Source organism: Homo sapiens, chromosome 12 (assembly GCF_000001405.40).
Source record: "Homo sapiens chromosome 12, GRCh38.p14 Primary Assembly".
In the NCBI taxonomy this organism is placed as follows: Eukaryota; Metazoa; Chordata; class Mammalia; order Primates; family Hominidae; genus Homo; species Homo sapiens.
Window position 1 is genome coordinate 50,460,421 of NC_000012.12, and position 22,936 is coordinate 50,483,356.

The 22,936-nt window shown below is 40.8% G+C and overlaps 1 protein-coding gene across 60 annotated transcripts in view; it reads left to right on the forward strand.

Annotated features, from left to right (window-relative positions):
• The window catches only part of LARP4 (La ribonucleoprotein 4), a 79,120-nt gene extending 59,536 nt beyond the window's left edge, over positions 1-19,584 (forward strand). For 38 of the 60 annotated variants that reach the window (NM_001352306.2, XM_047428212.1, XM_047428213.1 and 35 more), the window contains 6 exons: positions 715-927; positions 2,162-2,210; positions 6,539-6,700; positions 12,995-13,116; positions 13,579-13,747; positions 15,106-19,584. In NM_001352306.2, coding sequence (NP_001339235.1) covers positions 715-927; positions 2,162-2,210; positions 6,539-6,700; positions 12,995-13,116; positions 13,579-13,747; positions 15,106-15,444 — 1,054 coding nt within the window. In that variant the 3' untranslated portion in view covers positions 15,445-19,584. Of the gene's footprint in view, positions 1-714; positions 1,073-2,161; positions 2,211-6,538; positions 6,701-12,994; positions 13,117-13,578; positions 13,748-15,105 lie in introns of those variants that run through there. The other 22 variants (XM_047428208.1, NM_001170808.2, NM_001170803.2 and 19 more) reach the window with 7 other exon arrangements.
• The last annotated feature ends 3,352 nt before the right edge of the window (positions 19,585-22,936 follow it).

Genomic DNA, 22,936 nt, shown 5'->3' on the forward strand with positions numbered 1-22,936 from the left:
GGGCCCAAGCAGTCTTCTGCCTCAGCCTTCCAAGTAGCTGGGCATATTATAGGTGCATACCACTGCACATTTTAATTTTTTTTTGCAGTGATGGGGTCTTGCTGTGTTGCCCCAGCTGGTGTCGAACCCCAGATCTCAAACAATCCTCCTGCCTCAGCCTCCCAAAGTGCTGAGATTACAGGCGTGAGCCACTGTGTCCAGCCCACAACATTTTTTAATGTAAAATTTACTTCACTTTGGCCTGGCACGGTGGCTCACACCTGTAATCCCAGCACTTTGGGAGGCCAAGGCAGGCATATCACAAGGTCAGGAGATCGAGACCATCCTGGCTAACACGGTGAAACCCCATCTCTACTAAACAAAATACAAAAAATTAGCTGGACGTGGTGGCTGGCGCCTGTAGTCCCAGCTACTTGGGAGGCTGAGGCAGGAGAATGGCGTGAACCCGGAAGGCAGAGCTTGCAGTGAGCTGAGATGTGCCACTGCGCTCCAGCCTGGGCAACAGAGCGAGACTCCATCTCAAAAAAGTTTACGTCACTTTTTAAAATAACATCTGGAATGTAAAAGGGGCAACACTTTTACAACATTATTCTTTTGTGTTTAACTTAATTTTTTGAAAACCCCAGTACAACAGGAGCCAATTTTTTACCTAAGGAAAGATGTTTTTCTGTCTCGATTTACTGCTTTGTGTATATCATTTTGTATTTCCTATAGTGTGAAGCCTCAGTTTAGGTCATCTGGTGGTTCAGAACACTCAACAGAGGGCTCTGTATCCTTGGGGGATGGACAGTTGAACAGATATAGTTCAAGAAACTTTCCAGCTGAACGGCATAACCCCACAGTAACTGGGCATCAGGAGCAAACTTACCTTCAGAAGGAGACTTCCACTTTGCAGGTGGAACAGAATGGGGACTATGGTAGGGGCAGGTAAGAAAATAAAGTACCTGAAAACCTTTGATAATAATGTGATCATCCTGAATAATTGAAGAACATGATCTTCATAATAATTAAATGAGCATTTAATTATTGGTATATGGTTATATTAAATAAATACGTTATTTTCAGAACATGAGTTGGTTGCTTTTTATAATTATTAAGAAATAGAGTGCCCATACAGAATATAGCTCTGAATCAGAGGTTTATAAAGTTATTCTGAAGTTCCTTATAGCTCATATAAGAAAGAATAGCTTAGAAAATTAACATATCCATTTGCCTTATGGTTTTAATTTCTTCCAGCTTTTAAACTATAGAAGTGGCTGGGTGCGGTGGCTCACACCTGTAATCCCAACACTTTGGGAGGCCGTGGTGGGAGGATCATCTCAGGTCAGGAGTTCAAGACCAGCCTGGCCAACATGGTGAAACCCTGTCTCTATGAAAAAATACAAAAATTAGCTGGGCATGGTGGCAGGCGCCTGTAATCCCAGCTACTTGGGAGCCTGAGGTAGGAGAATCACTTGAACCCAGGAGGCAGAGGTTGCAGTGAGCCAAGGTTGCACCACTGCATTCCAGCCTGGGTGACAGAGCGCGACTCTGTCTCAAAATATAAATAAACTATAGGGGTGAGGTTATATATTGCCAACTTGCCTAATTAAACAATAGTATGGTTCTGGTTTGAAGGGATCACTACTAACAAATGGGCTCATCTTACTTTATGGTGTGGTAGTAGGTAAAGTTTTTAGTAAATTGGCTCAAGATCCCTCAGAATAATATATTATCTTTTAGTAATAGAGAAAACTAGCCCCAAATGTAGAAAGATGTTTAAATTGAAATGTATACAGCTGGCCAGGCATGGTGGCTCACGCCTGTAATCCCAGCACTTTGGGAGGTGGGGCAGGCGGATCATGAGGTCAGGAGATCGAGACCATCCTGGCCAACATGGTGAAACCCTGTCTGTACTACAAATACCAAAATTAGCTGGGTGTGGCAACACGTGCCTGTAATTCCAGCTACTCAGCAGGCTGAGGCAGGAGAATTGCTTGAACCCGGGAGGCAGTTCGTAGTGAGCCGAGATCGCGCCACTGCACTCCAGCCTGGCGACAGAGCGAGACTCCATCTCAAAAAAAAAAAAAATGTGTACGGCTTTGATAGAATGTATATATCTGAAGAAACTTATGACTTGTCCCTCCACCCCACCCCACCCCCACCTTTTTCTTATTAAAAGGAGAACTCTCTTCAGAGGTCGAAGACGACGAGAAGATGACAGGATCTCAGTAAGTTTTTTAAAACTTTTATTCAGACTTTTTTCTCTTCTGTGATTTACTATGGCATTGACTTTCGGTCTTTCCTTTCTGGGTTTTTGTTTTATTGATTGTAGTCTTCAGCAAAGGTAAATAGAGCCTAAATTTAACCCTGAAATTTTTACCACCACCACCCATATACCCACCCTCTAGCACACATGTAGTAAGGAGCTTCGCTTGTGTTGCTTGCTTAAAAAAATTATTTGAAGATCTAATGTATTCACATGATTTTTAAATAAAAACACGAAGTCTTTCTAACTTTCCTTACCTTTTCTTTCTTCTTTCTTTTCCAAGACACAGGATATTACTGTTTCCCAGGGCACTGGAATTACAGGCCTGAGCCACTGTGCTTGGTACAAGATTAAGGACTTCTAGGGAGAGGCAGAGGAGGAACGGGTCTTGCTCTGTCACCCAGGCTGAAGTGCAGTGGTACAATCATGGCTCACTGCAGCCTTCACATCCCAGGCTTAAGTGATCCTCCTCTCGAGTCGGGGTCTTGCGGGCCAGGCACCGTGGCTCGTGCCTGTCATCTCAGCTCTTTGGGAGGCTTAGTCAGTGGATCACTTGAGGCTACAGGCCCCATGCAAGTGCAAAACCAAGCAGAACGGTCAGGACATCTTCAAAGCTCCAAAATACTCACCTTTGGCCAGGCATGGCGACTCAAGTCTGTAATGTCAGCTCTTTGTGAGGCTGAGATGTACGGATCACTTGAGCTCAGGAGTTGGATACCAGCCTGGGCAAGGTGATGAAACCCCATCTCTCCAAAAAAAAAAAAAAAAAAAAAAAAAAAATTAGCCAGGCACCATGGTGCACGCCTGTTGTCCCAGCTACTTGGGAGGCTGAGGCAGGCTGATCCCTTGAGCCCAGAAGGTGGAGTGCAGATTGTGCCACTGCACTCCAGCCTGAGCAACAGAGTGAGACTCTGTCTCAAAAATAATAAACAAAATAATCTCCTTTGACTCCATGTCCCACACCTAGGGTACACTGATGCAAGGGTTGGGCTCCCAAGGCCTTAGGCAGCTCCACCCCTTTGGCTTTGCAGGGATCAACCCTGGAGGCTGCTCTCATGGGCCCATGTTGAATGCCTGTGGCTTTTCTATGCCTGTTCTGGAGTCTGGAGGACGGTGGCCCTCTTCTGCCACTATGCAGTGCCCTAGTGGAGGCTTGATGTGAGGGCTCCAGCCCCGTATTTCCCCTCTGCACTGCCCTAGTAGAAGTTTTCCATGAGATCTGTGCCCCTGGAGCAGGTTTCTGTCTGGACTTATACCAGGCTGGTATAAGTTTCTTTCAGAGGATGCCATACATCCTCTGAAATTGAGTCAGAGGCTCCAAAGCCAGTCTAGGAAGTTCGTCATCTCTATCTTCTTTTGAGCCTTCCAGACTCTTCCACCCTCTACCTGTTACCCAGTTCCAGTGTTGCTTCCACATTTTCAGTTATCTTTATAGCAGTGCTCCACTCCTCAGTACCAATTTTCGTTAAGCCGTTCTCACATTGCTGTAAAGAAATACTTGAGACTGGATAATTCATAAAGAAAAGAGGTTTAATTGGCTAACAGTTCTGCAGGCTGTACAGGAAGCATGATGCAGGCATCTGCCCAGCTTCTGGGGAGGCCTTGGGAAACTTACAATCATGGCTGAAGGCAAATGGGGACCACACAGTTTATACATGGCAGAAGTAGGAGAGAAGAAACCCATTTTCAAAGAAGAAAATATGTTCCATTATAACTTAGAATTGTTTTTAGGGTATACTAAATCTTTTAAATGCTTTTGTTACCCAGGCTAGAGTGCAAATGGCACAATCTCAGCTCACTGCAACCTCTGACTCCCGGGTTCAAGCAGTTCTCCTGCCTCAGCCTCCCGAGTAGCTGGGTCTACAGTCACCTGCCACCACGTCTGGCTAATTTTTTGTATTTTTAGTAGAGACGGAGTTTCACCATGTTGGCCAGGCTGGTCTCGAACTCCTGACCTCAGGTGAGCCACCTGCCTTGGCCTCCCAGAGTGCTGGGATTACAGGCGTGAGCCATCGTGCCTGACCAACAATTCTTTTTTTGAGACAGAGTTTCGCTCTTGTTGTCCACGTTGGAGTGCAGTGGCGTGATCTCGGCTCACTGCAACCTCTGCCTCCTGGGTTCAAGTGATTCTCTTGCCTCAGTCTCCCAAGTAGCTGGAATTACAGGCGCTCGCCACCGTGCCTGGCTAATTTTTGTATTATAGTAGAGACAGGGTTTCACCATGTTGGCCAGGCTGGTCTCAAACTCTTGACCTCAGGTGATCCACCTGCCTCGGCCTCCCAAAGTGCTGGGATTATAGGCATGAGCCACTGCACTCAGCCCAACAATTCTTTCTTAGCATTCCATAGTAGCAGTCCACATGACTTCTCAAGTGGCCCTCAACAATTTGGAATAAGAGATTAGGCCCTGCATGGTGGCTCAGGCCAGGCGTGGTGTCTCACGCCTGTAATCCCAGCACTTTGGGAGGCCCCGGTGGGTGCATTGCCTGAGGGTAGGATTTCAAGACCATCCTGGCCAACATGGTGAAACCCCATCTCTACTAAAAATACAAAAATTAGCCGGGTATGGTGGTGGGTGCCTGTAGTCCCAGCTACTCAGGAGGCTGAGGCAGGAGAATCACTTGAACCCAGGAGGCAGAGGTTGCAATGAGCTGAGATCATGCCACTGCACTCCAGCCTGGGCGACAGAGCCAGACTCTGTCTCAAAAAAAAAAAAAAAAAAGAGAGATTAGATTTGGGGTTTATTCAATATGTTGTAAATGTCATGATGGAGGACTAAACATTGGGGTTAAAGAAACAGGCATGACTTCCAGTAGGTAGGTCATGGTAGAGGAGCTCTTTTGCAGGAGGGAGATCTTAGCTGGGAATAAAATTTTGGATTTGTAAGCCTTCACATAGTAATTGGAGTGATAAGCTCATGCAGAGTACTCTCCATAGAGTGGTGAAAGTGGTCTAATATGGAACCTTGGGGAATAAAGCAGCAGTGTTGGGTTGAAAAATGAGATTATTCAGCATGCTGTTTGAAGTATTCAAGCAAAATCTGAATGGACATGGGTAATGGACAAATGTTATCTCGGTTGTAGGCAAAGGCCTAGGCTGAAAATATTTAAAACCTACAATTCAATGATATTTTTGTAAATTTACAGAGATATACCGCCATCACCACCAAAAAGCAAAACAGGTTGTTTTAACAGTTGCTTGCATATAGGTAGTAGTTGAAGCCATGGATAGTGGACATCACTCAAGGAGAATATGAGAAGTAAAGAGTAATAACCAAATGGAAACCATCAAAATTTTAGAAATGGTCAGGGGAAAAAGAGCACATGTCTGTCAAATCTAAAAAACAAAAAAGGTATCACAGAAGCTAAGAGAAAAATGTGTTCCCAAGGAAAGGATGGTTAACACACCAAATGCTATATGTCAGGAAATGAGAGGTCAGGAAAAAGGGTCTGTCAGGTTTTGCATTGTTGAAGGCATTGGTGACACCTAAAATAATTTTAGTGGAGTGATGACAAAGTGGAGGAGATACAAGTAAGAGGTAAGAGGCTTGTCAGAGGATATATAGGGTGTTAGACAGGAGGGAAGCATGAGATTTTTCATATATGTTATATAGAGGAGGGATATTGTTTTCTCTTGAGATAAATAGATGGAGAAAGATGGTGATGGGCGGGCACAGTTGCTTAAGCCTGTAGTCCCAGCACTTTGGGAGGCCAAGGAGAGAGGATCACTTAAGCTCAAGAGTTTGAGACCAGCCTGGGCAACGTAGTGAAACCTTGTCACTACTAAAAAACAAAAAATAAAAATTTAGCCAGGTGTGGTGGCGCGCACAGCTACTCTGGAGGCAAAAAAGGCAGGAGGATTACTTGAGTCCAGGAAGTCAAGGTTGTAGTGAGCTATGATTGTGTCACTGCATTTCAGCCTTGGTGACAAACTAAGACCCTGTCTCAAAAAAAAAAGAGTTGATAGCAAATTTAGGTAAAGTGGGTGTTTTTGTTAAGAAGGCATAGCAAATTATGAAATGAATAGTAAAGACTGGTTAGAAGGCTTAAGGAGTATGGCAAAGTTTACAAAAGAAACAGGTGAGAGAAGTGACTAAAGAAAAGTAGAATTGATAAAGACTGATGAGAGCTCAAGTGAGATGTCAAACCAAGAATTTATGTAGGGATACAGTTCTGTGCATTATAGAGGTTTTGTTTGCTTCTTTTTCTTTTCTTGCACCTTTCAGCTTCTGTGACACAGGATTAGGGAATGAGATAGCCATGTGACCTGTTTTATTATTTGTTCATTTTAGAGACCTCATCCTTCAACAGCTGAATCAAAGGCTCCAACACCAAAGTTTGACTTATTAGCCTCAAATTTTCCACCTTTACCTGGAAGTTCATCAAGAATGCCAGGTGAACTCGTTTTGGAGAATAGGATGTCTGATGTTGTTAAAGGTGTCTACAAAGAAAAGGTAAACACCCAGCATCTGAGTCTTACCTTATGAGACCATATTTAGGCTTTATTTGCAGTGTTGTTATTTAAAATTTTACTTGCACTTAGTGTACATTTCTATCATAGTTTTTATTTATGGAGTTTTCAGCATACTTAGAGTGTTTTTTTAAAGATTCATGATGAAGCTGCACAAAGGCAATAAAATGTTTCTTGGCTTTTGCATGTCTTTGTTTTTTTTTTTTTTAAAGACATGATCTTAGCTCACTGCAACCTCTACCTCCTTGGTTCAAGTGATTCTCCTGCCTCAGCCTCCCAAGTAGCTGGGAGTACAGGCATGCGCAACCATGCCCAGCTAACTTTTGTATTTTTGTATTTTTTTTTAGTAGAGACAGGGTTTCGCCACATTGGCCAGGCTGGTCTCCAGCTCCTGACCTCAAGCCATCTGCCCACCTTGGCCTCCCAAAGTGCTGGGATTATAGGCATGAGCCACCACGCCCAGCCTTGCATGTCTTCCTGTTAGTCAATTCAGCCTGTTAGAACTGATAACTGACTAATGCAAGCTAAATGGAAGGTATCATTTCCATTTATGTGCCTATAATTCACTAGTGATGAAATGAATTCTTTCAAACAATGGAAAGTAGATGTCTAGAGGCTGAGATGCCTCATCTTATGATTATTTGGTGTGTAGACCTCTCCATATCAGAAATCCTCATGTCTCACAAGTTTTTCTCATTTTCTACCTTTATTCTAATTCAGTTTTTTTTTTAATTATAACAGTACATGTCTATAGTATATCTAGGCTTTTAATGAAAAACCTGCAACTACTTTCAGCTCCTTAGTTTTTCTCCCAACTTTTATTCCTGTATTTCTTTATTTTTTTATTTTATTTTTTCTTTTGAGATGGAGTCTTGCTCTGTAACCTAGACTGGAATGCAGTGGTGGATCTCTGCTCACTGCAACCTCCACCTCCCGGGTTCAAGCAGTTCTCCTCCCTCAGCCTCATGAGTAGCTGGGATTATAGGCATGTGCCACCACACCCAGCTAATTTTTGTATTTTTAGTAGAGACAGGGTTTCTCCATGTTGGCCAGGCTGGTCTCAAACTCCTGACCTTGCGATCCGCCCACCTCGGCCTCCCAAAGTGCTGGAATTACAAGCGTGAGCCACTGCGCCCGGCCCTGTATTTCTAATTAACTTTTTTTTTCTTTTTTTTGAGACAGAGTCTCGCTCGTAGCCCAGGCTGGAGTACATTGGTGCGATCTCTGCTCACTGCGAGCTCTGCCTCCTGGGTTCACGCCATTCTCTTGCCTCAGCCTCCCGAGTAGCTGGGACTACAGGCGCCTGCCACTACGCCCGGCTAATTTTTTTTTTGTATTTTTAGTAGAGGCAGGGTTTCACCGTGTTAGCCAGGATGGTCTCGATCTCCTGACATCGTGATCCGCCCGTCTCGGCCTCCCAAAGTGCTGGGATTACAGGCATGAGCCACCGCGCCCTGCCTAATTAACATCTTTTTATTGTAACCTCTTGGCTTTTCCATTTTCAGCAGTGTCTGTTAACTTCACTTTCTGAAGCTAAAGATTTAGCTTTCTTAAGCCAACATACTCACACTTTTCCTATCCTCCTGATATATTGTACTTCATTATATATGATATCATCAATTATAAGGCATCCATTATTTTCATATCTCTAAGAAAGTAAAAGATGTTGCTAGTTATGCTAGGACACACCATCCTTTGTAAGCCACATTTCAGTATTACAGATATTTTTCAGGGCTGAGACTCAAACATAATATACTATGATTGTTTCTCCTTTTGTGTGCACTCTCGGTGTCCTACTGCCTAGCTATGTTCCTGGGCCTTCTCTTTACCGTCACCCTGGCAATTTTCCTTACTCTTCTTTATCGATCCCCCTTTTTTTCTCACTCTTGTTTCACTCTTCCATGTTAGGGTGGTTCATATCTTCCATGGTCATGAAGTATAAATTTCTTGCATTCTGAAAATGTTTTTCTGCTCTCAAATTGATCAGTAGTTTATTTCTGTATTGGATTCTCTATCAGAAATCATTTTCCCTTGGAACTTTGAAGGTATTATTCCACTGTCTTGTTTCTTTAAAAAAATATTGTGACACGTAGTAGTTATTTCATAAGTTCTAAGATACACTTTTTTCCCCCCATGTTTTATCACCTTCAAAAATCAGACTAAAAATTATTTTTTAAAAAATGTAGGCCAGGTGCGGTGGCTTACGCCTGTAATCCCAGCACTTTGGGAGGCCGAGGCAGGCAGATCACGAAGTCAGGAGATCGGGACCATCCTGGCTAACATGGTGAAACTCCGTCTCTACTAGAAATACAAAAAATTAGCCAGGCATGGTGGCGGGTGCCTGTAGTTCCAGCTTCTCCGGAGGCTGAGGCAGGAGAATGGCATGAACCCGGGAGGCAGAGCTTGCAGTGACCTGAGATTGCGCCACTGCACTCCAGCCTGGGCGACAGAGCGAGACTCTATCAAAAAAAAAAAAAAAAAAAAAAGTAAAGGCGGGGCACAGTGGCTCAAGCCTGTAATCCCCGCACTTTGGGAGCCTGAGGAGAGTGGATCATGAGGTCAGGAGTTTGAAACCAACCTGGCCAACGTGGTGAAACCCCGTCTCTACTAAAAATAGAAAAATTAGCTGGGCATGGTGGCACGCACCTGTAGTCCCAGCTACTCTGGAGGCTGAGGCAGAAGAATCGCTTGAACCCGGGAGGTGGAAGTTGCAGTGAGCCGAGATTGTGCCATTGCACTCCAGCCTGGGCGACAAGAGCAAGACTCTGTCTCAAAAAACAGAAAAAGAAAAAAAATAAATAGGCAGGCACATTGGCTCATACCTGTAATCCCAGCACTGTGGGGGTCCAAGGTGAATGGATTGCTTGAGCCCAGGAGTTCGAGACCAATGTGGGCAACATAGAGAGGTCCCGTCTGTACATAAAGTAAAAAAAAAAAATAGCTGGGCATGGTGACGTATGCCTGTAGTCCTTGCTACTTGGGAAGCTGAGACAAGAGGATTGCTTCAGCCCAGGAGATCAGAGCTATGATGAGCTGTGATCACACCACTGTACTCCAGCCTGGGTGACAGAGCAACCTGTCTCAAAAAAAAAAAAGACTATCTTTAATCAGAAGCTATTTTAGTTTAAGTGCAGTATTTTTATTTTCTTCTCATCTTAAGGTCTGCTTCTATCCAGTGGTTTTATTTTTATTTTTCCTTATTGGTACATAAAATAATGGTGTAGTTCAACAAATAATGGCATCTCAGATTTCAGAAGATGATACACAAACACACATATATACTTTCTTTCTTTCTTTCTTTCTTTTTTTTTTTGAGATGGAGTTTTGCTCTTGTTGCCCAGGCTGGAGTGCAGTGGCGCGATCTCGGCTCACTGCAACCTCCATCTCCCAGGTTCAAGCGATTCTCCTGCCTCAGCCTCCCAGGTAGCTGGGATTACAGGCACTTGCCACCATGCCCAGCTAATTTTTGTGTTTTTAGTAGAGATGGGGTTTCACCATGTTAGCCAGGGTGGTCTCGAACTCCTGACCTCAGGTGAGCCACCGTGCCCGGCCATGTATGCATTTTTAAAGAATAATCATGAAGTGTACGTCTCCTTATAACCCCAACACACAATTATGGCCCATAAATATCCCTAGTATCTTAGCAGTGACATGTGTATCTCCCCACTATTTATAGTCATTCTGCCCCACTCTTCCCCTTCAGATATAAACATTATTCTGACTTTGTGATAGCAATTTTCTTGCCTCATTCTGCATTGACAGAATTCTTCTGTGAAGGGCCAGATACTAATAGTAAATATTTTAGGCTTTGTGGGCCATGTATTGTCACATATTCTTTGTTTTACAACCCTTTAATAACTTAAAAACCAAACCAGGCATGGTGGGTCATGCCTGTAATCCCAGCACTTCGGGAGGCTGAGGTGGGAGGATCACTTGAGGCCAAGAGTTTGAGACCAGCCTAGTCAACATAGCAAGACCCCCATCTCTAAAAAAATAATAATTTAAAAATAATAATTATAATTTACAAACCATTCTTAGCTTGTAAGCCATACCAAAACAAGTTGAAGGCTGGATTTGGCCTTGCGGGTCTTAGTTTACCAACCCTTGCGCTAGGTGATAAAACGGGGTGCCTGTTTTTGGAAAGGTTATAAATGGAATTGTACAGTATGTATTCTTTTACTTCTTTCATTCTGTATGGTTTGAGATTGATCACTGTTAATACAGATGATTGTTGTTCATTTTGAACTATTATGTGATATTCTATTGTAGGAAGTAAAATATTTATTCATTGTACTGTTAATGGACATTTTGCCATTATAAATCTTCATGTGAGCAAGAACTTTTCTAGGATTTATACATCAGCTTGTGTTCTTTTAAAGTTTTAAAGTCTTTCGAGTGTTTTTTGAGATGGAGTGTCGCTCTGTCGCGCAGGCTGGAGTGCAGCGGCATGGTTTTGGCTTATTGCAACCTCCACTGCCAGGGTTCAAGCGATTCTTGTGCCTCAGCCTCCTGAATGGTGAATACAGGCGCGCGCCACCATGCCCGGCTAATTTTTGTATTTTCAGTAGAGACAGGGTTTCGTCTTGTTGGCCAGGCTGGTCTCTCAAACTCCTGACCTCAGATGATCCACCCACCTCGGCCTCCCAAAGTGCTAGGTTGACAGGTGTGAGCCACTGCGCCTGGTCAGTGTTTCAAGTTTTGAAGAAACAGACTCATATATTTTTTTTACACATTCTGTGCACTAATCCTTTGTCAGTTACACGTAGTAGAAATAATCTTTCACTTCTGTGGTTTCTTTTCCGTCTTTAGTGCCTATAGGTTGAAACAAGTTCTTAATTTTAATCTGGTCCTATTAGTGTTTTCTTTATAGTTTGCTGTTTTTATTTCATGCTTAGGAAATGATCTAGCTTCCAGATCATGTTCTTATTTATATTTTCTACCAAGTTTTTCTGAATGTTACTTTCTAAACCTGTTGAAATTTTTATTTTATCCATCGGTTTTAATTTCTAGGGCTCTTTTCTAAATTCTATGCCAGCAGTATAAATACACATAACAGCGTTTACCATCTTAACCATTTTAAGTGTGTACAGTTTTGTAGTATTAAGTACCTTTACATGGTTGTGCACCTAAGCTCCAGAACTTACAATCTTTCAAGACTAAAACTCTATACCTATTAAACCATTACCTGTTCCTCCTTTCTCTTATCCTTCAGCAGCCACTATTCTACTTTCTGTCTCTGAATTGACTACTCTTAGTAATTCATATAAGTAGAATCATACAGTATTTGTCTTTCTATGACTGGTTTATTTTACTTAACATCCTCAGCTTTCATTCATGTTGAGCGTGAGTCAAGATTTCATTAATTTTTTTTTAATGTAGCCTACAAACTTTTTTTTTTTTGAGACACGGTCTTGCTCTGTTCCCAGGAGGGAGTGCCGTGGTACTATCATGGTTCACTGCAGCAGCTTCAACCTCCCAGACTCACGTGATCCTCTCAAGTAGCAGGGACAACAGATGGACACCCCCCACCCTAGCTAAATATTTTACTTTATTTTGTAGAGACTGGATCTTGCTATGTTGTCCAAGGCTGGTCTTGAACTCCTGGGCTCAAGCAGTCCTCCCGCCTCAGCCTCCCAAAGTGCTGGAATTACAGTCATGAGCCCCTGCATCCATCCCTATGTTTAACTTTTTTTTTTTTTTGGGACGGAGTCTCGCACTGTAGCCCAGGCTGGAGTGCAGTGGTGCAATCTTGGCTCACTGCAACCTCCGCCTCCCAGGTCCTGGTTCAAGCAATTCTGCCTCAGCCTCCCAAGTAGCTGAGATTACAGGCATGCACCACCGTGCCCAGCTAATTTTTGTATTTTTAGTAGAGATGGGATTTCACCATGTTGGCCAGGCTGGTCTTGAACTCTGACCTTGTGATCCACCCGCCTCAGCCTCCGAAAGTGCTGGGATTACAGGTGTGAGCCACTGCGCCCAGCCTATTTAACTTTTTAAGGAACTGCTACATTGCTTTCTAAAGCAGTGCATCATTTTACATTGCCACCCTCTATGTATGAGTTTTAATGTCTCCATATCATCCCCAACATTTGTTAATGTTTGTCTTTTTTTTAATTATAACCATCCTTGTGGGTATGAAGTGATTTTTCACCGTGGTTTAGCTTTGCATTTTATGATGACTAATGATGTTGACCATCTTCTCTTGTGCTTATTAGACGTGTATATCTTCTTTGGAAAAAGGTCTAAGTGTAATTTTGAAAAATCTTTTTACTTTAAGGATAATGAAGAGTTGACAATTAGTTGCCCAGTGCCTGCAGATGAGCAGACAGAATGCACTTCTGCCCAGCAACTCAATATGAGTACCAGTTCTCCATGTGCTGCTGAGCTTACTGCATTAAGGTACAAGTTATAGTATAGAAGATCTTCAACATTAAATTACTTTTTCTGGCCGGGTGTGGTGGCTCTCACCTGTAATCCCAGCACTTTGGGAGGCCGAGGCAGGTGAATCACCTGAGGTCGGGAGTTCAAGACCAGTCTGGCCAACATGGTGAAACCCCGTCTCTACTAAAAATACAAAAATTAGCTGGGCGTGTTGGCAGGTGCCTGTAATCCCAGCTAATCAGGAGGCTAAGGCAGGAAAATTGCTTGAACCGGGGGGTGGGGGTGGGTGGGGGGGTGGGGGGGGTGGGGGGTGCGGGGCGGGCAGAGGTTGCAGTGAGCCAAGAGCATGCCACTACACTCCAGCCTGGGTGACAGAGTGAGACTCCGTCTCAAAAAAAAAAATTACGTTTTCTTCTGATTAGTTGCTCAACTGTTCCTATATGCTATTCTGAGTCTAATTGCAAGCTCTTTTTTCCTTAGCACAACTCAGCAAGAAAAGGATCTAATAGAAGATTCCTCTGTTCAGAAGGATGGTCTCAATCAGACAACTATACCAGTTTCTCCTCCAAGTACTACAAAGCCATCGAGGGCAAGTACTGCTTCACCATGTAATAATAACATAAATGCAGCTACAGCTGTGGCTCTACAGGTAACTTGAAGATTTTAGTTTATGTTAAAAAAAATACAATAGATTAGATTTTTTTTTTTTTTTCACGTAACACTTTGTTAGAACAGAGTCATTTGGAAGTAGCCCAAGTTGGGGCTGACTATCAGAAAGAAGCTTAAGGAGTGTTAGGGTCACTGCAAAGAGATGGAAAGTTTTAGGCTTTTTTTTGTTTTGTTTTGGAGACTGAGTCTTCACTCTGTCGCCCAGGCTGGAGTGCAGTGGCACGATCTCGCGTCACTGCAAGCTCCGCCTCCCGGGTTCACGCCATTCTCCTGCCTCAGCCTCCCGGGTAGCTGGGACTACAGGTGCCCACCACTATGCCTGGCTAATTTTTTGTATTTTTAGTAGAGACGGGGTTTCACTGTGTTAGCCAGGATGGTCTCAATCTCCTGACCTCGTGATCCACCCGCCTCGGCCTCCCAAAGTGCTGGGATTACATGCGTGAGCCACCGCGCCTGGCCCATTCTGTTTCTTTTGATTGCTTTTTTTCTGTTCATATGGTTAAGTGAAGCTTCTTCCTTACCCACGTTAGGATGAATTTATCATTTTGGGGCTAACATAAAGAGGCCTTGTGCCTCTTGATATTCTTTTGGTTGTATATGTGATACTTAACAAGTCTATAAGTGGCCATTGAGAGGCCACTCCCATTTATCAAGTTCCAGAATTGTTTTATAGTTATATAATTGGGAAAATACAGAAAAGCAGAACAAAACACAAAATTTACCTATAATCCCTAGCATTTTAGTACAGCACTTTTAAAAATAGATTTAGAAGACTATCTTCTCATTCAATGATAGTAATAATACTAAAATAATAGCTACCATTTGAATGCTTACTATATATTATTAGGACTAGTGCTGAAGACTTTACATGTTTTATTCTGTTCTCACAATACCTCTATTCCACCTTTTTCAGTTGAGGTAATTAAGACTTTTAATGAGTCTTTTTATACCATTGGATTCTAACTGCTCTGCTGGGATTCTTTTGTCATCTTTCTTGGGGTTCTTTGTAGCAAGGAAACAGGAGCAGAAAGAACCATTTTATTTCATCATATGGCTATACCATTATTCATCTAATCTGTCCTTTGTTAGGCATTTAGGTCGCTCCCATCATTATAAACAACGCTGACATGAACATCCTTCAGTTAAATTCCTTACGTGAAATTATTGTATAATAAATAAAGATTGTACCAGTGTACTCTAAGCAGTATATATGAGAGTGCTTGTTGCCCTTTTCTGGAAGATAATCTGTGGTTTTCTTATGGTTAACACAATCATTTTTATACTTTATAATTTAAAGAATGTGTACCATAAATGTTTTTTTTTATCATCACTTCAAAGGAACCCCGAAAGTTAAGTTATGCTGAAGTGTGCCAGAAGCCCCCTAAAGAGCCATCTTCAGTTCTTGTGCAGCCACTACGGGAACTTCGCTCCAATGTGGTGTCTCCCACCAAAAATGAAGACAATGGAGCTCCTGAGAACTCCGTTGAGAAACCACATGAGAAGCCAGAAGCAAGGGCTAGTAAGGATTATTCTGGCTTCCGAGGCAATATAATCCCCAGGGGAGCAGCAGGAAAAATCAGGGAACAGAGACGCCAGTTTAGCCATAGGGCTATACCTCAGGGAGTGACTCGACGTAATGGCAAAGAGCAATATGTGCCACCCAGATCACCAAAGTAAAAAACAACAAAACTATTCAAAAACTTCACTCTCTTCCCATTAAACTTGAACTGTGGCTATATTGAACTGTTTTGGAGGGGAGGGGGTAGCCAGGAAGGAAACAAGAGAAAGTACGTCCATTTCATTATGGATTTTGGAGTTGTGAGTGATAGGATCCCAAAATTCATCTCTAATGTGGTTTTTAAATGCTGGAGGATTCCAATCAATATAAATATATATATATATATACACACACATATATAAAAAGTATAATTTTTCTATTTTTGTTTTTGGTTTTAATTTGCAGAGATTTGCTGCCAGGAATCAATTTTGAGGGTTCAGATTTAGCTTGGAAGAAAAAAAAGAAACATACATCCTTCAGTATAGGAGATGAGGGAATGAGAGAAAATATTTTTTGAAGAAGCATTTCTGTAAAATTAGAAATTACTTTTTTTAATCTATTTAAAGTTTGGCTTGAAGAATGCCATCTCTGACTATATGGCCTTGTATTGCAAAGCGGATCAGTGGCTGGGGTGCCTGTTGTGGGTGTGAGTGTGTACAAGAGCGATTGAAGCCAAATCTGTTGTCATGTTAGTAAATGATTTGAAAACTGAATGTAATACTTGAGTAGATTTTTTTTTCTAGTTTGAAATTTAGTCTGTCTTTTTGACCTTACTAATATTTCATTTAACAAGTTGTAAAACTCTGATTGTACTTAGAGATGTGACTACCAATCAGTTTGATACTCAAGGAAAGGGGGTTATTCAAGAAATTGAAAATTTCATCTTGGACCTCAGTGCATAGGTCAAATGGATTTCAGAGGTTTAAACTTCCCTGTGATTCCCCCGAATACCCCCAAAATGAGAAACAAAATTTTTTTTCTTACTCCATTTGTTACTCTCTGTTCTTTGACTGCCCACCCACAGAAAAGCAAAATAACCAACTACCTACTCAATTGTGTGTTTGTAATTGCTTTGAGCAGTCTAGTCAAATCATATAAATTGTTCTAAATTTCAGAATTGAACATTGAAGTATTAACTCTTCTGTTCACACATTTAGAATTTTAGCTCCCAAGATGGTAGGGCAGACTGACCGTACAGTAATTTATTTGTCGTTAGTGTTAAAGATTAAGCATAGTAACTGACTCTTAAGTGTTAAATAATGTAGAAGTAAAAAAATTTTTTTTAAAGGCTTAATTTGGGAGGGGGGACTTATTTCTGTTTACAGTGTATTACCTTCCTTCCCTCCTCTTCTCCCCCCACACCCAACAAAATACAGTTTGGAATTCACTGAAACAGTACCAGCAAGTCATGAGATTTTTTAGTAAAGATGAGAAAGATGGTTGAAGAAAATTAGTGCATAATTTCTCAGTGAATAAAGTTGTAGCTCTCATATACTAAATAGACAAGTTTACATGCTGTTATTTAGAAAATGACTAAAATATTAAAAACCGTGTTGTGTTAATCTGTTTTAAGTCATACCATGTTCAGAGTTCTATGTAAGGTGGGTTTTATTTTTCTTTTAAGGGATAGTTTGTAATAGTAAGAACTGTCCCATATGTTAGTAAATTACATATGTACAAATTGAAACTGTAAATTGTGAACACTGGAAAGCACCATTGTGACATAGAGTAAACATCTTAGTAATATATTAAAGTGAATGTAAATGGTGGTTAAAATTACATTACTGTGAAATTCATCTTCCAACTCTAAGTTAAGCTTTGGAGATACATGTTAGTGGTTAACTGTTAAGAGCTTTGAAAACACTGCACATATCTGTACAAGCCAGAATTACTATTTCTTTGACTTATTATTAGCTTGGCAGTTGCTTTTGATTTGATTGTTTTATGACATGGTATACTACTATATTTACTCAGTTTGAAACTATTCATTTCTACACACTATTTTTAAAAATTGCCTACTAGGTGAAACATAACAATAAAACTACCTGTGCTGAAATTTGGGGGAAGTTTAGGTCCTTTAAAAAAACATATTAATCATTGACTACATCTATGATAAAAGTGCTTATTTTGGTTTACTAAGATAATGCAGTTGGTGGAAATGATAAACGTTTTAAGTGTTAACATCCTTTGAATGCGTTGGATTTCAGAGAATAAACATTTTGTAAAAATCACTTGGTAAGGATTATAAACTTAATTACTGCACTTAAAATGAAACATTACTTTTTTTAAACAATGTGTCACAAATGTAGGTCTGTATTACTTGTATGCTTGTGTGACTTACTGTTAGTCCAGCTCTAAAAATTTAAAGGTTGTAATTGAAATACAAGAAAAGAGCCTTCTTTTAGAAGAAAGCAAGTATATTTTTGCTTTTACTTCAAATGTTATTTAAAGTAGAAATTTAATTTGTAGATATAACCTTTAAAAATTTTCTCATTAAGACAATGTTTTTAATTTAATTTGCCTCATTACATCTAATAGTTCCCATTTGATGGCATGTATAGGGAAGAGTGAGAGAGTGTGTGTGTGTGTATGTGTGTGTAATATTTATATATATTCACAGTATGTATTTAGCATTTATTTTATTACAGCAGATTTAAAGTTTGTATCTAAATAATGCCTATGAGTTGTGTGAAGCTCTTGGCTTTTTTCCAACGTTACTTTGTAACTAATGAGGGTGGATGTTCATTGTAGTTTATTTATTTGGTTCTTTAGATGGAGGAATTTAAAAAATCAAATTTTTCTCTTCACCTTTATGACTTGACATTTCCTTGATCTGTTGGAGGCTAAAAGTAGGTATAAATGATATTGAATGTTGGGTATAGTGATACTCTGCCATAGTTCTTACTGCATGAAGAGAACAAGAGTCACACAAGTTCACCACTTTGCACTTCATAGAGAAGGTACATAGAGACATTGCAAAACCTGTCTCCATTTGCTATCCTGATAATTAAGGTTTTCATAATACCTAGGGCCTGTCTCTGAGTAATTTTAATTTTGCCAAATACACTGACATTTAAAATAGTGATCCATCTAAATTTTTTTCAGCTGGGTTTTGAGGAATATAAGAGCTTTCAATGATAAAGGTTTGTTGTAGTTGTCTTATGTGCTGAATTTGCAGATGATCAGATGCTGTGCAGAATTCTGATTTATTTTTGTTTCCTAAAATTAAGATAGCTTGAATATTATTTCACATTCCTTTTTCTTTTTTAAATAAACAGGTTTGCTTTGGAAAGGCTTAATGATGGAATGTTAGCATCTTCACTAGGGTAAAGAAGAACAAAAAGAATGTTGCTGGAACGTAAAATAGTATTTAAAAGTTAATGAACACTTCTCTAGTTTTCTTAGTTATGGCCTTAATAATTAGTCTCTTGGCTTAAATGTCCACTGGTTTTACTTTGACACAGTTGAACAACACTGGGGTTAAGTCTCTGGTATTTAGGCTGGCAATATATATATTAACCATATTTTAAAAGTACCAATTTTGTTTTTACAGAAAAGATAAAACTCAAAAGAGAACAGTGTATTCCTTCTGAGGGGCTTTTATAAATTATTAACTATAATATATGATGGATTTTTTCCTAATTTTTTATATTTCCTTACAATTTTGGTGGCCATTAATTTAACTTTAGGCTTTTGGGCATATGCTAGTCTGAGCTTCCGAAAAGATACATATATGTTTCCCTTTTCATTAGCTGAATGAGGATATTTTAAGAAGTTGAAAGAGAATTTATTTTCAAGTTGTGAGTAAATCCTCCTTTGAAATTCACCTGATTATTAGATAACTTAAAGTTTATTTTTAAAAGCTGACAACTTTTTATGAATCTTCGAGTTGACAGTTCCTAAAAGCGTAACTCAGATATTAATGGGCTGTGTATTAAATGGTTTTATTTTCAGTTTTGCAGCACAGAACACTGTTGAAATATCCATATCAACTTGATTTTTTTAACCTAATTCAGGTGTCCTTTGCATCTCTTAAATGTTGGGGGTGGGGGTCAGAGCCAGTTATCCGGCTTCTGTTTTGTCGATTGCTTAGATTTGTTCCTGTTGTCAAAACTGTTACCCCCAAAATTGGTGTGACACATGCTCATGCATAAAATGTTAAAATGAGTACATCCTTGTATTTGTATTTGTTTTCAACATCGCCAAGGTGCTATGGGAAATTAACAAAATTAGAAAAAAAATAAAATTATTAAAAAGCAGGACTGGTTTCCTTTTCTCTAGGTGGTGTATGTCTAATGACTACTTCTGTCTACCTTTCAGTATTATATGTTGCCCTCGCTAATTCTATTATTATTATTGTCTAAGTTGTTTTTTGGATGATGAGGGCAGTGGGAAGTAATGGTGTTTCACTTAAAACAAGGGCAGAGAGACAAGATACAGCTTTATGATCCTGGGGTATTCTTTTAGTTATTTTAGTATCAGAAGCAGTTATTAAAGGGTGAAAAATGGCTGGGCGCGGTAGCTCACGCCTGTAATCCCAACACTTTGGGAGGCCAAGGCGGGCGGATCACCTGGGGCCAGGAGTTCAAGCCCACCCTGGCCAACATGGTGAAACCCCATCTCTACTAAAAATACAAAAATTAGCCAGGCATGGTGGTGGGCACCTGTAATCCCAGCTACTTGGGAAGCTGAGGCAGGAGAATCGCTTGAACCTGGAAGGTGGACATGGCAGTGAGCCAGGATCGCGCCATTGCACTCTGTCCTGGGTGACTGACTAATGAAACTCCGTCTCAAAATAAATAAAGGGGAGAAAAGACTGCAGTGGCCCTGTAATCCCAGGGTGCACTTCAGGGGGCCGAGGTGCAAGGATCACTAGAGACTATGAGTTCAAGCCCAGCCTGGGCAATGTAACAACCTAGAGGGTGAGGCAGGAGGATTGCCCGAGCCCAGGAGTTCAAGGCTGCTGTGAGTTATGATTGTGTCAGTGCACTGAAGCCTAGGCAAAAGAGCAAGACCCCATGAAAAAAAAAAAATAGTGGTTGGGGGACAGGAATCATGGTAATGTGTAGCTTAAAGAGTACCTTCATGGAACGATTGTGGCTTGATTTGAGTATGTGCATATCAAGCCCAGCCTAGAGTATTTGGGGCTTTTCAGAGGGAAAATTGACTAGGGAATTTAAATGAGGGTTTTTTTTGTTGGTTTGTTTTGTGTTTTTTGTTTGTTTGAGACCGAGTTGCTCTTGTTGCCCAGGCTGGAGTGCTATGGCGCGATCTCGGCTCAGTGCAACCTCAGCCTCCCTGCCCGAGTTTTGATTTTTTTAAAATGCTTCATTTCAAAGCAAAAATGGAAAAGCTGAGTCAATCTCTGGCTTTTTAACAGGTATCTGTAAATTATTGTGACACCTTAAAAATAATGGAGTGGCCGGGCGCAGTGGCTCACGCCTCTAATCCCAGCACTTTGGGAAGCTGAGACAGGCAGGTCAACTGAGGTCAGGAGTTTGAGACCAGCCTGACCAACATGGTGAAATCCCATCTCTACTAAAAATACAAAAATTAGCCCGGCGTGGTGGCTCATGTCTGTAATCCCAGCTACTCTGGAGTCTCAGGCATGGGAATCGCCAGGAGGCGGAGGTTGTAGTGAGCAGAGATCGTGCCACTGCACTCCAGCCTGGGCGACAGTGACTGTCTCAAAAAAAAAATGGAGTGGTGTTTCATGGCTATTATACCACAGTTTATTCTTGAATTGTCTTAAGTGAATTTTTTTTAATGGTGGAAATTTTTTGTGGGTTTTTTTTGAGATAGAGTCACTCTCTCCCAGTCTGGAGTGCATAGGTGGGATCTCAGCTTGCTGCAACCTCCGCCTCCCAGGTTCAAGCGATTCTCTTGCCTCAGCCTCCCAAGTACCTGGATTACAGGCACATGCAACCACACCCAGCTAATTTTTGTCTTTTTAGTAGAGATGGGGTTTCACCATGTTGTCCAGGCTGGTCTCGAACTCCTGCCCTCAAGTGATTCGCCCACCTCGGCCTCCCAAAGTGCTGGGATTACAGGCGTGAGCCACTACGCCTGGCCAGTGGTAGAACTCTTAATAAATGTGGCCTAATTTCAAATTATATTCTCAGAAATATTTACTATTCTGCCAAGTTATGTAATTTGGATATGTATGTAGATACACCTTAAGGTAACAGATTTAATTATGAGCATTCACTTTAATAATTAGCTCTTTAGCTAAGCCTTTAATTTGCAAATGAACAATTATTTATCTTAACGAAGATGGCTAATGTCAGTGAGCAAAGTGGTGCTGGTAATGACAGGTTTATGAGGGTTAAGTTCTAACAAAGCCTTAGGGGGCTTATATCAGTGTTTTAGTATGTTTATTTGGCCAAGATATGAGGGGTGCATAACTTAAATTTTATATAAAGAGCACAGTATTCTTTATAGTGGACCCAAAACCAAATTGGTAAACTCAGGTAGGCTCTCGTGTTGTATTTAAAATGAGTGATTTTGCAAAGAGTTTCATTACAGATACCTTATATTTAACTACACTTCTTGTTAGAAAATATTAATCTAAATATTATGCCTTCAAGTTTTAATTATATACCTGAAAGTTTTTTATTTTCTTTTTTTGTTGTTGTTCATTCACCATCATACTCTGATATACCTGGAAGTTTTTAAATGAAAAGTTCTTAACAGTTACTAGTAAAGAATTACGAATTTTCTTAAAACCATAGTGTCTTTAGTTTGAGAATTTTAAGGAATTGGAATGTTTTCACTTTTTTAATATTGTTTCCAAATAAGCACCCCAGTTTCTTAACTTTTTGTTTAAGAGAAGGTCTCACTCTGTCACCCAGGCTGGATTGCAGTGGCACAGTCATGGCTCACTATTCCCTCAAACTCCTGGGTTCGAGCAATCCTCCCACTCTAGCCTCCCCGGTAGCTGGAGCACATGCCACCATGCCTGGCTAGTTTTAAATTTTTTTGATTTAGTTTTTTACTTATTTTGAGACGGTCTTGCTCTGTTGCACAGGCTGGAGTACAGTGACACAGTCATGACTCATTGCAGCCTCGACCTCCTGGATTCAAGTAATTCTCCCACCTCAGCCTCTCAAGTAGCTGGGACTACAGGTGTGCATCACCACACCAGCTGACATTTATTTATTTATTCACTTACTTGTTGTTGTTGTTTGTTTGTAGAAATTGTCTCACTGTGTTGCCCAGGCTGGTCTCAAACTCCTGGGCTCAAGCGATCCTACTGCCTTGGCTTCCGAGGTGCTGGTATTACAGGTTGAGCCACTGCACCTGGCCCTAGTTTAGCTTTTAAAATGCATTTTTTAAGGCAGCTGTTCTGCAGGTCTTTGATTAAGTTCTAATTCTGCTATTTTGCATTCTAAGTTATGCCTAAAATAACTATCATCTTTTCAAAACTGAGGTTATTGACAGCATTGGAGCTAATCATGATGGAGTGTTCATTTAATTAGTATTTATTGTATGCTATGTTCCAGACGGTGCTAGGCAGCAAAAATAGATAGGATTCCTGCCCTTATGGTGCTTAGCATGAAAAAGTCATAAATAATTGCCAAGTTTAGAACAATAGTAAATATGACAGATGTA